At 41.0% G+C, this 14,556-nt stretch overlaps 1 protein-coding gene across 173 annotated transcripts in view; it reads left to right on the top strand.

Annotated features, from left to right (window-relative positions):
• The window catches only part of PTK2 (protein tyrosine kinase 2), a 344,180-nt gene that overhangs the window by 184,365 nt on the left and 145,259 nt on the right, over positions 1 to 14,556 (top strand). For 152 of the 173 annotated variants that reach the window (NR_148038.2, NR_148036.2, NR_148037.2 and 149 more), the window contains one exon: positions 14,065 to 14,172. The exons of the other annotated variants lie outside the window; for them this stretch is intronic. Coding sequence is in view for 145 of the 152 variants with exons in the window: in NM_001352699.2 (NP_001339628.1) it covers positions 14,065 to 14,172 (108 nt within the window). In the remaining 7 variants the exon portion in view is untranslated. The remainder of the gene's footprint in view (positions 1 to 14,064; positions 14,173 to 14,556) is intronic. 173 annotated transcript variants of the gene reach the window in all.

Below are 14,556 nucleotides of genomic sequence, written 5' to 3'. Positions count from 1 at the left end.
CTTGGTGCCAGGCAGTCTAGAGGTTTGAGATACAATAAGGAACAAAACAGAAGTCCTTTGTCTTTATGTAGCTTATAGTTGAGTGCACAAAATAAATATGGAATACATCTGTGTCATACAACAATAAGTACCGAGATGAAAAGTAGAACAGTGTGAGGGTGGGTGTACTGAGAAGGGCATGCTCCCATTTAGATGAGTGTTCAGGGAACATGATTCTAGGGGCTTCTTCTCAGGCCTTGCACTAGTAACATTTCTTTTCCACTTAACATAGTGTAGTGATTTGAACTTTTTACTTAATTTATTCATACCTTGACCTGTACATATAATTTCCTATACATATATAAATGTGCCAAACCGTGTCTGACCTGCTTTTTTCCAAGTGTACTCTGGTTTCCATTCCCACTCTGCTCAGCTCCTGCCTCTACCATTCTTTTCTCTTCAGCCTTCTCTGTAACCCCCCACCCCCTGCCCATACTTAACATGTAAGTGATTTAGTAATCTTCTGTGTTTTTCCTCATATTCCTGTTTTGTTATTCAGAAAAGGGGTCATCATCAGGCACACTGTCCTACTTGGTTATTTCACTCTGTGAACCTGGTAGAAATTTTTTCAAGCCCCGCCTTTCTTTGCCCCTTCCTCCCTGGGGGCCAGATGGGATTCTGTGAAGGGCAATTACTTTGCTTTTAGATTTCTGCCCCAAGACAATGACATAATAAATACTCCTTTATATATAATCTATGTACTACTGCTTTTTCTCCTTGTGGAAGAGATTTCCAAGGATGGAACTGCAGGGTTCGTTTCAAATAGTTGTAATTTTAAAAGAAGCTGTTGGATTGCTTTTCAGAAAAGCTAGGAAACTTCATATTGTCACTGGCAGTGTGTGAGAGTACTATTTTCGCACTCATTGGATGGCAGTTTTAATAGCTCTTTTAATTTTTCCATTTTAATAGATACAAAGTTATTCTTGTAACTTTTTTGCTCACTTAGATGTAAAGCAAGGACCTAGTAACTTTAAACATATTTTCATGTCTTGACTGTTTTTCTTCTCACCTCTGTGAATTAACTGCTCATATCATGTACTTTGCCTATTTTACCAACACAATTGTCCTTTTAAATTAATAAGTCCCTTTACACATCAAGGAAATCAGTGTGTTTTCCTGTTACCTTTTTTATGATTTTTTTCCCCAAATCTCTTGTTGGCTGTTGACTTTAAACAGACCGGCCTCCCTTGTCCCACATCCTAAGGATGACCACTGTCCTGACTTCTGCCATCACTGATTAAATCTCATTAAATGCTGCTGTGTCAGCTGGATATTCACAGAGGAAAACAGAATAAATTTTTGTGAAATTTTGTGAAAGTGCTTTTTTTTTGATATTGTGTTTCAGGACTTCTTTTATACCCTTCAATAAGATCTCAATCTTTTTCAGATAGGTCTTCCATATTAAACCAATTCATAAGTATTTTATAGTTTTGGGCCTTATGTTGAATGACTTTTTGGGGTTTTTCTTGCCACTTACAATTTAAAATTTATATTGTGAGCATAGAAGATATTCTTGATTATTGTTTAACATACAGTCTGCAACCTTATTATTGATTGAACAGGTTTTTTATTAGAATTTTGGATTTTATAAGTGTATAATAATGTAATCAGCAAAAGAATAATTTTACCTTTCCCCACATACAATTTTTTCCTTCAGTCACAAGAAGCTCAAAGATCATGTTTAATAACAGGGCAGTAGACAATATTCCTATTTTGTTTTAGATTTTAATTTATCAATTAAAAGTGTGTCATTATTTGGGATTGTTTTTATTGTTGAGTTTTAATAACATGTCTTTAATATTTTTATCTTTTGCTTAGAGTTTTATGAGTAGCTCCTAAATTTAATCAAAGACCCTTTTAGCATCTATTGATATGATCCTTTTTCTCCTTTATCATTATAGTAGATTATATTAATAGTTATGATAATATTGAGCCAATTAATAATATACAATATTCTTTTAAAATATTGAGTTATATTTGTAGAATTTTTGCAACTATTTGTGAGATTAATCTAGACTTTTTTATGTTAACTTTATTAGACATGGTGTTAAAGTTATATTAATTTCATTAGGTGAATTGGAATCTTTCAGTGATTTTTTTTTAAAAAAACTTTTTAAGCTCAGGGGTACATGGGCAGATTTGTTATCTAGGTAACCTCGTGTCACACAGTTTATCATACAGATTACTTTGTCACCCAGGTATTAATCCTAGTACTGATTAGTTATTTTTCCCAATCCCCTCCCCACTTTTACCCTCCACCCTCTGGTAGGCCCCAGTGTCTGTTGTTGCCCTCTGTGTGTCCTTGTGTTCTCATCTTTTAGCTTCCCTTATAAGTGGGAGCTAAAAGATGCAGTATTTAGTTTTCTATTCCTGTGTTATTTTGCTAAAGATAATGGCCTCCAGCTCCATCCATGTTCCTGCAAAGAACATGATCTCATTCTTTTTTTTTTTTGGCTGCATAATATTCCATGGTGTGCATGTACCACATTTTCTTTATCCAGTCTACCATCGATGGGCATTTAGGTTGATTCCATGTCTTGGCTATTGTGAATAGTGCTGCATTAGACGTACATGTATATGTGTCTTTATAAAAGAACAATTTGGCCGGGCGCGGTGGCTCACACCTGTAATCCCAGCACTTTGGGAGGCCAAGGTGGGCGGATCACGAGGTCAGGAGATGGAGACCATCCTGGCTAACACGGTGAAACCCTGTCCCTACTAAAAATACAAAAAATCAGCTGGGCGTGGTGGCATGCGCCTGTAGTCCCAGCTACTCAGGAGGCTGAGGCAGGAGAATGGCATCAACCCGGGAGGCGGAGCTTGCAGTGAGCCGAGATTTCGTCATTGCACTCCAGCCTGGGCAACAGAGCGAGACTCCGTCTCAAAAAAAAAAAAAAAAGAACAATTTATATTCCTTTGGGTATATAGCCAGTAATGGGATTGCTGGGTTGTATGGTACTTCTGTTTGTAGGTGTTGAGGAATTGCTACACTGTCTTATTATTTTATGTATTATTGTGAGGTACATTCCTTCAATGCCTAGTTCATTGAGGTGTTTTAACATGAAGAGATGTTGAATTTTATTGAAAGCCTTTTCTGCATCTGTCAAGATGATCCTGTGGTTTTTGTTTTTAGTTCTGTTTATGTGATGAATCACATTTATTGATTTGCATATGTTGACCCAGCCTTGCATCCCAGGAATAAAGCCTACTTGATCATGGTGGATTAGCTTTTTGATGTGCCACTGCTGGGTTTGGTTTGCTAATATTTTGTTGAGGATTTTTGCATCTATGTTCATCAATAATATTGGCCTGACATTTTCTATTTTTGTTGTGTCTCTGCCAGGTTTTGGTATCAGAATAATTCTGGCTTCATAGAATGAGTTAGAGAGGAGTCCCTCCTTTTCAGTTTATTGGAATAGTTTTAGTAAGAATGGTACCAGCTCATCTGTATACGTCTGGTAGAATTTGGCTGTGAATCCATGTGGTGCTGGGCTTTATTGGGTTGGTAGGCTATTTATTACGGATTCAATTTCAGAGCTCATTATTGGTCACTTCAGGGCTTCAGTTTCTTCCTGGCTCAGTCTTGGGAGGGTTTATATGCCCAGGAATTTATCCATAACTTCTAGATTTTCTGGTTTATGTGCATAGAGGTGTTCCTAAGATTCTCTGATAGTTATTTGTATTTCTGTGGGGTTGGTGGTAACATCCCCCTTTTCATTTCTAGTTGTGTTTACTTAGGTCTTCTCTCTTCTTTATTAATCTGGGTAGTGGTCTATTTTATTAATTTTTTTTTAAAAAAACAACTCTTGGTTTTGGTTTAGCAACAGGCAGGAATGGTTTTTCCATCTCACTCTCCTTCAATTCATCCTGGTTTTGGTTAGTTCTTTTCTTCTTCTAGTTTTGGGGTTGGTTTGCTCTTCTTCTAGTTTGGGGTTGGTTCTCTAGTTCTTTTTTGTGATCTTAAGTTGTTAAACTGAGATCTAACTTTTCGATGTGGGCATTTAGTGCTACAAATTTACCTGTTAACACTGCCTTACCTGTGTCCCAGAGATTCTGGTACATTGTGTCTTGGTTCTCATTCATTTCAAAGCACTTCTTGATTTCTGCCTTAATTTCATTATTTACACAAAAGTCATTTGGGAGCAGTTTATTCGATTTCCATGTAATTGTGTGGTTTTGAGCAAATTTCTCAGTCATGATTTTTAACTTGGCCGTGCTGTGCTCCGAGAGAATGTTTATTATGATTTCAGTTCTTTTGCATTTGCTGAGTACTACAAATTTACCTCTTTACACTGCCTTACCTGTGTCCCAGAGATTCTGGTACATTGTGTCTTGGTTCTCATTCATTTCAAAGCACTTCTTGATTTCTGCCTTAATTTCATTATTTACCCAAAAGTCATTCGGGAGCAGTTTATTCAATTTCCATATAATTGTGTGGTTTTGGGCAAATTTCTTAGTCATGATTTCTAATTTGGCCATGCTGTGCTCTGAGGGAATGGTTATTATGATTTCAGTTCTTTTGCATTTGCTAAACGGTGTTTTGTGTTCAATTATATAATTGATTTTAGAGTATGTGCCGTATGGTGATGAGATGAATGTGTATTTTGTTGCTTTGGGGTGGAGAGTTCTATAGATGTCTGTCAGGTCCATTTGATCCAATGTTGAATTCAAATCATGAATATGTTTGTTAATTTCCATCTCAGTGATCTACGTAATATTGTCAGTGGGGTGTTAAAGTCTCCCACTATTATTGTGTAGGAGTCTAAGTCTCTTTGAAGGTCTCTAAGAATCTGGCTTATTAATAATGAGTGCTGCTGTTTGGTTTTTTTATATATTTAGGATAGTTAGGCCTTCTCGTTGGATTGAACCCTTTACCATTATGTAATGCCCTTCTTTGTCTTTTTTAACTGAGTTGGTTTAAAGTCTGTTTTGTCTGAAATTAAGATTGTAACCCCTGTTTTTTTCTGTTTTCCATTTGAATGATGGATTTTTCTCCATTCCTTTATTTTGAGCCTATGTGTGTCATTGCATGTGAGATAGGTATTTTGAAGACAGCATACCAATGAATCTTGGTTCTTTATCCAGCTCTGTGTCTTTTAATGGGGGCATTTAGCCCATTAACATTCAAGGTTAGTATTGATATGTGTGGATTTGATCCTGCCATCATGGTGTTAGCTTGTTATTAGGCAAACTTGTTTGTGTGTTTGCTTTATAGTGTCACTGGTCTGTGTTTTTGTGATGGTTGGTAACGGTCTTTCCTTTCCATATTTAGTGCTCCTTTCAGGAGCTCTTGTAAGGCAGGTCTCATGGTAACAAATTTCTTCAGCATTTGCTTGTCTGAAAAGGATCCTATATCTCCTTTATTTATGAAGCTTAGTTTGGCTGGAATTATAAAATTTCAGGTTGGAATTTCTTCCAGAATGTTGAATGTTGGCCCCCAATCTCTTTTGGCTTGTAGAGTTTCTACTGAGAGGTCTGCTGTTTATCTGATGGGCCTTCCTTTGCAGGTGACCTGGCCCTTCTAGTTTCCTTTAACATTTTTTCTTTCATTTCCACCTTGAAGAATTTCATGATGATGTGTCTTGGGAATGATCTTCTCGTGTAGTATCTTACTCTGCCTTTCCTAAATTTGAATGTTGACTTCTCTAGCTAGGTTGGGGAACTTTTCATAGATCATATCCTGATACATGTTTTCCAAGTTGCTTACACTCTCCCCAGCTCTTTCAGGGACACCAGTGAGACATAGATTTGGTCTCTTTACATAATCCCGTATTTCACAGAGGCTTTCTTCATTCCTTTTCATTCTTTTTTCTCTATTCTTTTCTGACTCCTATTTCAGAAAGACAGCTTTCAAGCTCTGAAATTCTTTCCTCAACTTGGTCTGTTAGGCTATTAATACTTACGGTTGCATTATGAAATCTTTGTAGTGTGCTTTTCAGCGCCATCAGGTTGATTATGTTCTTTTCTATTCTGGCTATTTTTTCTCTCAGCTCCTGTATTGTTTTATTGTGATTCTTAGCTTCCTTGGATTGGGTTTCAGTGTACTCCTACATCTCAATGATCTTCATTCCTATCCATGTTCTGAATTCTATTTCTGTCATTTCAGCCATCTCAACCCAGTTCAGAACCCTTGCTGGAGAGGTGGTGCGGTCATTTAGAGGAAAGAAGGCACTCTGGCTTTTTGAGTTGTTAGATTTCTTGCAGTGGTTCTTTCCATCTTTTGGGCCAACGTTTCTTCAACCTTTGAAGTTGCTGACCTTTGTATTTTTGCTTGTTTGTTTGTTTATCCTATTTGATGACCTTGAGGGTTTGATTGTGGTAAGGTGGACTCAACTGACTGGCTGCATTTCTGGAATATTTTAGGGGACCAGTGCCCAGCCCCCAACTCCTGGACTGTGTGCTCTAATTCTGGGAGACTGGTATTGGGCTGCAACTTTGTTCTCTGGCTCCTGGAGGTTAGGAATCCACTGCACTTGTGGAGTGTTGGGGGTAGGGGTGCTCCCAGACCACTGGTCACTACACTCCAATGGGTGGTGTCAGCCAAAGCATTTCACAGTGTGGTGGCATAGGATCCGCCCTTGTTTCCATGTGCCAGCAGCAGTGGCAGCACACTGGGATGCACGCTCATCAGCCCGGCAGGTTGCTAGTGGGTACTGGGGTGCCTGTCTCCATTTGAGCATTCACTACAGTGGCAGTAGCAGCACGGTTTGGGTGGGGGGTTGCCTGTTGGCAACTGTGCAGCATTGGTGCTGGTGGTGGTGGTAGCACAGGGTTGGGTTGCTGGCAGGCCCAGGTCTGTGTGTGCACCCTGTGCACTGTAAGCATAGGTGTTTGCTGTGGGTAGGGGAGAATCTGCTATTCTCTGTGCCTGCTTTCACTCTTGGGATAATGTTGACATAAGCATGGGGTGCTGGCAGTGGGGACAGGGCTGGTTGGCTCTGTGCCTGCCAAGGCTCCGACTGAGGTGGCTGTCAGGCATGGGTGAGTTTTGGGGTTGCGTGCACATGTGCACTGGTGAGGCACGGAAGGCAATACCTGCCTGCGTACACAGGTGCCAGCAAAACTCTGTTGGGAATTGCTGTGGGCTAGAGGAACCTGCAGTGTGAGGAAGGAGCGGGTGGGCTGGTGTGTGGCAATGGAGGCTGCCCCGTGGGAGCTCTCTGCTGGTCAGAAGCGGTCAGCCACTGCAGGGGCTATGATGTGGGCCCCAGGGCACCCAAGGCTACCCTGCAAGCAGGCTCGTTCAGGCTGGGACCCCAGGAGAAGCCAGAAGCCCAAGGGGTGCTCAGGTCAGACTAACCCCCTTCTGATAGGTAAGCCCACCCTGCAGAGTTCAGGTCCAACAGTTCCCCTAGGGCTAAAGTCTCTTATGGGAGCAAGTCAGGGCTTCCCTGGCCATGTTCCACTACAGACGCTCCTGCACCAAACCCTCTGGGCTCCACCTCAGCTGGCTGCAATCCCTAGCACTTCTCTAAGCAGCTCTCCCTGCCACCTCAAGTGTCCGTAGTAGTTGAGGGGCCCCCTGCTCGGATTTAAGAGGCCTGTAGTGAGAGCAGGTTGCTCCTTGCCAGTTCCACTCACCCATTCCCCCAGGGTAATTGTGGGCCAGGAATGAGTCTTGGTGTGTGGTAGCCTCTTGCAGGGTTCCCAGCTTCCTCCCCCTTCAGCCCAGCTTCTGTGTCTTTCCTTCATCCATTCTCAGTGCCTTCCCTCTCTCTGGTGATTTTTAATGGCCTGAAATATTTTAATTCAAATTGGAATTGCATGTTGTTTAAAGACTAGGTAGAACTGATCTACGTAACAACATGATGCCTTTTTAAACGGCAGGTGTTTATCTTTTTAATCACTTCAAAAGTAATAGATCTTTTTTGAGACACGGTCTCACCCTGTCACCCAGGCTGGAATTCAGTGGCACGATCAAGGCTTACTGCAACCTCTGCCATCTGGGCTCAAGCAGTTCTCCTGCCTCAGTCTCCCAAGTAGCTGGGACTACAGGTACACACCATTACACTCGGCTAATTTTTGTATTTTTTTGTAGAGAGGGGGTTTTGCCATGTTGCCCAAGCTGGTCTCAAACTCCTGGGTTCAAGTAATCTGCCCACCCCAGCCTCCCAAAGTGCTGAGATTACAGGCGTGAACCACTGTGCCTGGCCTAATAGTAATCGATCTATCCACATTTTCCACTTGTGTCGGCTTTGGTAATTTAGCATATTATCCATTTCTCTACATTTTCATCTTGCTGCCATAGAGTTGCCTCTCATAGATCTGTTAAAATCTTTCCAGTAACTTTGTCTCTATATTCCTGTTTCATGCCTAAGCTCTTTTGATTTGGCTCTTTTTCAGACTTGTAAAGGTCTGTCTATTCTAATTGTTTTTTGAAGGACAAGTTTAGTGATGTATTGCAGCAGTACTATTCATTTTCATTGATTTCAGTATTTTTCTTCATTCTGTTTTTGTAGTATCTTCATTATTTTTGTCTTTTTTATTGTGCTCTTCCCTTTTAAGTGCATCTTTAAAATGTATTCTTGTTTACTTTGGAGGCCATTTTCTTCTTGCACAACTTTTAATATGTCTTACCTTTCTAGGTATGTGGTATTCTTCTTTCCATTGTATTTCTGTATACTCATTTGAAGTTTTATCTTTGGCCAGGCACCGTGGCTCATGCCTGTAATCCCAGCACTTTGGAAGGCTGAGGCAGGTGGATCACCTGAGGTCAGAAGTTTGAGACCAGCCTGGCCAACATGGCAAAACCCCGTCTCTACTAAAAATACAAAAATTAGCCAGGCGTGGTGGCGCCTATAGTCCCAGCTACTTCAGGACACCGAGGCAGGAGAATCGCTTGAACCCGGGAGGTGGAGATTGCAGTGAGCTGAGATCACACCACTGCACTCCATGCTGGACGACAGAGTGAGACTCCATCTCAAAAAAAAAAAAAAAAAAAACAAGAACAAAAATTTTATTTTTATTTCTCTTTTTCATTATAGCATTATTTAGAAGAATATTACTTAAGTTTCAAGTAGCCCTGGGGTTTTATCTCATTTTTATTTCTATGAGCATATTATGAGCCAAAAATTTCATATTGGCTTATGAGCAGGTAATATGATTTTTAAATGTTAACTGTTTCACAGTTGTTAAGATCTTCTTTATGGCCAAGCGTATGATTTTTATAAATGTTCCTTGAAAATATATGTTTTCCTTTTGAGTTTATAAGGACCTCTGTGCCTATGAAATAAGAGGTATTAGTTATATAAAGTAGAAGAAAGCAAGATTGGAGCAATCAGGATAGAGCCCCCAGAAGATTCCTTGCACTGCACTTCTCACATTTCTGCCTGCCACACTCCTCCTCCTCATTTGTTCTGCCTCCCATGGGTGAACTTCATGTTCCTGAATGAGACCAACCCTCTGCTATGTAATGGCTTCTATCCCATCTTACCTGTTCATGGTAATTCTTCAGTTCTGCCCACTCTTTCCTGTAGCAGCAGACATTTCTAACATACTGGATTGTTCCTGTCAGCATAGAAAAATGTATAGTTTCTCCCATCCTAAAATCCCCTCTTTTAGCCCTGTGTCCCTCTCTCTCCCTGGTACCTCATGTTTTCGTGTCATTTATTGCAAAACTTCTTGACAGATTATCTAACTGCATTGTCTTTAATTCTTCCCACTCCCTCTTCAACCTGCTTCAACCAGGCCTTTCCTGCCTACTACCATTACACTACCACCGTCCACCCCTCAATGCCTTGCCAATGATGACAGTGATCCTCCTGTAGATAAGCCCACTGGGTAATTCTGAGTCCTCATCTACTTTACTTGACTTCTCCAGTGCTGTCCAACAGCAATACGATGTAAGCCTCATAGGTGATTTAAAATTTTATAGTAACCACATTTAAAAAGATAAAAAGATAGGTGCAATTAATTTTAATATATTTTATTTGATCCAGTATATCCAATGTATCATCATTTCAAGATATAGTCAGTGTAAGAATTCTTGAGACTTTATCTTATTTTTATCATTCCAAGTTTTTGAAATCTGGCATGCATTGTACCCTACCAGCATATCTCAGCCTGGAGGAGCCACATACCACTGGGTGCTCCATAGCTGTGTGTGGCTTCCTGCCACCAGTTGAACAGCACATCTCAGATTCTCCTTCTCAAGTGCTCTTTCCCTCTCTTTTTGCCCTTGTAATGACCACTTACATGCCTATCTTGAGTGTTACCTTAGTCAGTTTGCTTATATATTGTGTGCAGCTGCCTTGTGCTAGGTGGTAGGCTAGATTCTGCTGGTGCAGTACTGTATCTGAATGTAATATACCTAGTCTTAAGCTCGTGTTGCTCAAGTCTTGTTCTCTTTTTCGCAGTGAAACTTTTTCTGAGGCTTTATTTCCTCCCTCCTCTCCTTTCCAATAAATTAGATATTTTTATACAGCACCGTGTATTGCTTTGTTATAGTCCTTATCACAGTTGTAATGGTTTACTTGTGTAATGTTTGTTTAATGTCTGGATTCATGTTATCCTTGTTTGCTGCTGTATATCTGATACTTGGAACACAGTCTAGCACCTAATAACTTCTCATACTTCATTCACTTACATGCCAGGCATGGCCCTGCTTCCTTGTAATCTGGTGGTGGACAAGGTGGACATGATACTCCCATCCTCATGGGGCTTTCCTTCTAGTTATAAAATAGAATATAAAGAAGAAAATAAGCAATATAAATAATGGGATTGTGCTAAAGGGCTATAGTAGGGTGGCGTGAGAGAGTATCTGAGTGTTTGATTTAGAGTAGGTGGGCAGTGCCAGCCCCTCTTAACCCTGTTCTCTTTATAACAGATGTTTTAAATTATCTTTTGCTATCCTGAAATTAAAATTACAGAGCATGTTATTCCCCTACTCAAATAATTTTTTAAAATCTCTATCAATATCTTAAAGTTTAGCACAATACATTGGAAGGCACTCTAGTCAGACGCACCTACTTAGTAAGGACTTTTAATTGGAGGGAGAACAATCAGAAGCCACTCCATACAAGTGGTGTAGGAAAGTGATAGGGAAAAGTTATGTGACTGACCTTGGGGAATAATGCCAGAGTGAGGCAGAAAAACAATTTTAAAAAATATAATTTCCATAACCTAGATGTCTTACTGTGCCTTCGAATTTTTTTTTTAATTATGAGATAGCAATAACAAGGACTAATTGAGATAGTATTCCTCATTTCATGTGTCACCACCAACATAATGATGTTCAGCTCTCGGTCTGTTGGAAGGCGCCTCCGACATCCTCTGTTACGTACGTGCATGCAGTAGCTACAGATGCAAACTGATACAGGTGCATTTTGTCACTGACCAAAATAACTATAGCAAGTCTTGCCCTTGGTGGTGTCATTCTCCAAAATGGTGAGGAACTCTTAATAAAACTTCAAAAACAGCATAGTATAGGATTCCCTTGCATTACGCGTAAGTTGCATTCCTGGAAAGTTCAATGCAGAGCATACTTTGTGGTTTTAAACAGACTTTGTTTCTAGAGTCAGATTTTTCAGTGACATAAATACACACCAGGACATTTGAAAGCCGTCGAGGATGCAGGACAATTTTTTATTGTGCAGGAATTACCCATGCTTCATGTGACATCTAGCAGCCTTGGTTATAAAAACAACCCACCCCCTGAAATGGTTCTACCCCAACGAAACTAGAGCACATATCATCAAGACAAGATCATGACAGTAAATTAGGTCAGAGAGGCAGGCAGGGGTCAAATCATGTAGACAGTTTGCTCATAGAAATCATGCTATGTAAATCATGCAAGTTATGATGCTTTGTATTGTACCTTTTTAAGCAGAGGAGTGATATGATCTGGCTTTCAGGTAGGGACATTATATAGTAGCATGGATGAAGGGAAACTAGGAAAAATGGCAGGACTCTAAGCAGAATATCATATGGTGGCCTGGACTATAGTGACAACTGTGAAGATGGGAAGTAAACACATGAATTCTGGATGTTTGGAGCTGAAGTTGCCAGGACTTGTGGAGAGGTTGGATAATGGGGAAAGGGAGAAGAATCAGTGAGAATGCCTTTTTTTTTTGGCTCAGGAATCTTGTTGAATATGATCTTTTTTTTCTCTTCTTTTTTTTTTTTTTGAGACAGAGTTTTGCTCTGTGCAGAGTGTAATGGCATGATCTCAGCTCACTGCAACCTCTGACTCCCTGGTTCAAGTGATTCTCCTGCCTCAGCCTCCTGAGTAGCTGCAATTACAGGCACATGCCACCATGCCCAGCTAATTTTTGTATTTTTAGTAGTGACGGGGTTTCACCATGTTGGCCAGGGTGGTCTCAATCTCCTGACCTCGTGATCCACCCGCCTCATCCTACCAAAGTGCAGGGATTACAGGCATGAGCCACCACACCCGGCCAAATATGATGCTTTTTATTGAAGTCAAGAAGCCTGGAGGAAGAACATGTTTTGAGGGAGTACCCTTTTAACTATGTTGTTAGTAATCTCTTGCAGACATCCATGTGGTAGTATGATATAGGGAGCTGGATGCATGAGTCTGAGTTCCAGGGAGATGACAGGGCTGGAGATGGTACTTAACGCCCCAGGACTGTATGGTATTTGTTTTGCCATGGCAGAACTAGGGGGAATAACAGGGCCCACCCAGCACAGAGCCCTGCAGCCCTTTCACATTTGTAGATTGAGTAGGGGAGAAGCCAGTAAAAAGAACTGGGAAAGAGAGACCAGTGAGGTGGAAGAAACCCCAAAAGGGCAGGATGTCCCAGAGGATAAGTGGGAAGAATATGCAGAGGGGCTGTGGGACATGCTATGAGAAGCCTGGGACCAGAGAATGGAGGGCTGCCTGTGGCCTCCCGGGGAAAGGCAGGAGCCCTGCAAAACACATGTCTCTACAAACGGCGCAGGAAGATGCTTTGCTGGGAAGGGCAGCCCAGTGTGAACCTCTTTCTGAACAATTCCAACTCCGTTCTAGTGGCATCATCTGTTCGCCATGCAATGGGAAGGGGCATTAGCTGACAGAGTGGCCTTAACCAAGCAAATTGTTTTGAAGAAATGTATAGGAATCTTCACATGCAAAATGATCATCCTCATGAGATGCTAGAAGGATGGAAGATTCATGTATCTTTTATATGTATTTTTTTGAAGAAGGGTCTCACTGAGTTGCCCAAGCTAGAGTGCAGTGGCGCAGACTCAGCCTCCTGAGTAGCTGGGTCTACAGGCACAGACCACCATGCCTGGTTATTTTTTTTTTTCTTTTGGTAGAGAAAGGGTCTCACTATGTTGCCCAGGCTGCTTGAACTCCTGGCCTCAAGGGATCATCCCACCTCAGCCCCTCAAAGTGCTGGGATTATGGATGTGAACCATTGCTCCCAACTCTATCTTTTTTTCTTTTTAAGAAGGAGAGTGTTTATTAATTTGTGCAGCAGTAATAGAAGAAAAAGAAAAAAAAAAAGAAGAAGCCAAAGTTTATGCTACTTAGGAAAATGACCATAGACTCTCCTGGCATGGCTTAAGAGGTTATTCTGTATTGGGAAGGGCCCTTTGGGTACCTACTGTCTCCCTAGCTACAGATCTCCAGTTAGTTTCAGAACTTACTCTAGCCCAGGGTGCATGGGGATTAATCCCAGATCCCCTCTTTCTTTGGGAATGGGAGTAGAATGTTCTCTTTGACTAAGAATTCCATAAGATTCCTCCCAGGCTGGCAAACGAGTCAGGCCAAAGGTTGCTTCAACTTCCCTCCCTCCTTTATCTTCTGTTCTCTCTCAGTGGTAACTGTACTCTCACTCATCCAACTCATGTATGGGTCTCCTCAGCACATCACAGAGAGCAGACCTGTACCTGACCTTGAAGTGCAGGAGACAGTCTCATGGCTGCTCCCCTGGGGCAGCATGGAGAATCTGTTTTTTTCCCCAGACCTCCAGTCTTAGGGAGGATGTCTTCAGGACAACGAGGATTTCACAGAACATTTACAGACTCTGTGAAATGAGTTTTTTATCCGTAGTCTAAAGATTTTACCTTTCCTTTTTATAGCCCACACATCTTGCTGACTTCACTCAAGTGCAAACCATTCAGTATTCAAACAGTGAAGACAAGGACAGAAAAGGAATGCTACAACTAAAAATAGCAGGTGCACCCGAGGTAAGGAACTGTTACGTTCATCATTAAGGGAAAATGGTTAAATAGGGATGTTTTAGAATTGTTGACTTTTTTATGAAAAGGATGAAGTTTTTATGGATCATCAGAATCACAACTTTCTTATATATAGAAAGGGTTACATTAGAAACAATAATGATTAAATGTCCCCAAGAATAGGACAGGAGACAGATTTAAAAATCATCCAAGAACGTTATTGTAAAGATAATGATGATTAAAGATTATCATCAGGCCAGGCGCGGTGGCCCACACCTGTAATCCCAGCACTTTGGGAGGCCAAGGCAGGCGGATCACTTGAGGCCAGGGTTCACATGGTGAAACCCTGTCTCTATTAAAAATACAAAGATAAGCCAGGCATGGTGGTGCACA

Source organism: Homo sapiens, chromosome 8, assembly GCF_000001405.40.
Source record: "Homo sapiens chromosome 8, GRCh38.p14 Primary Assembly".
Lineage (NCBI taxonomy): Eukaryota > Metazoa > Chordata > Mammalia > Primates > Hominidae > Homo > Homo sapiens.
This window is presented reverse-complemented; position numbering and strand designations above follow the sequence as displayed.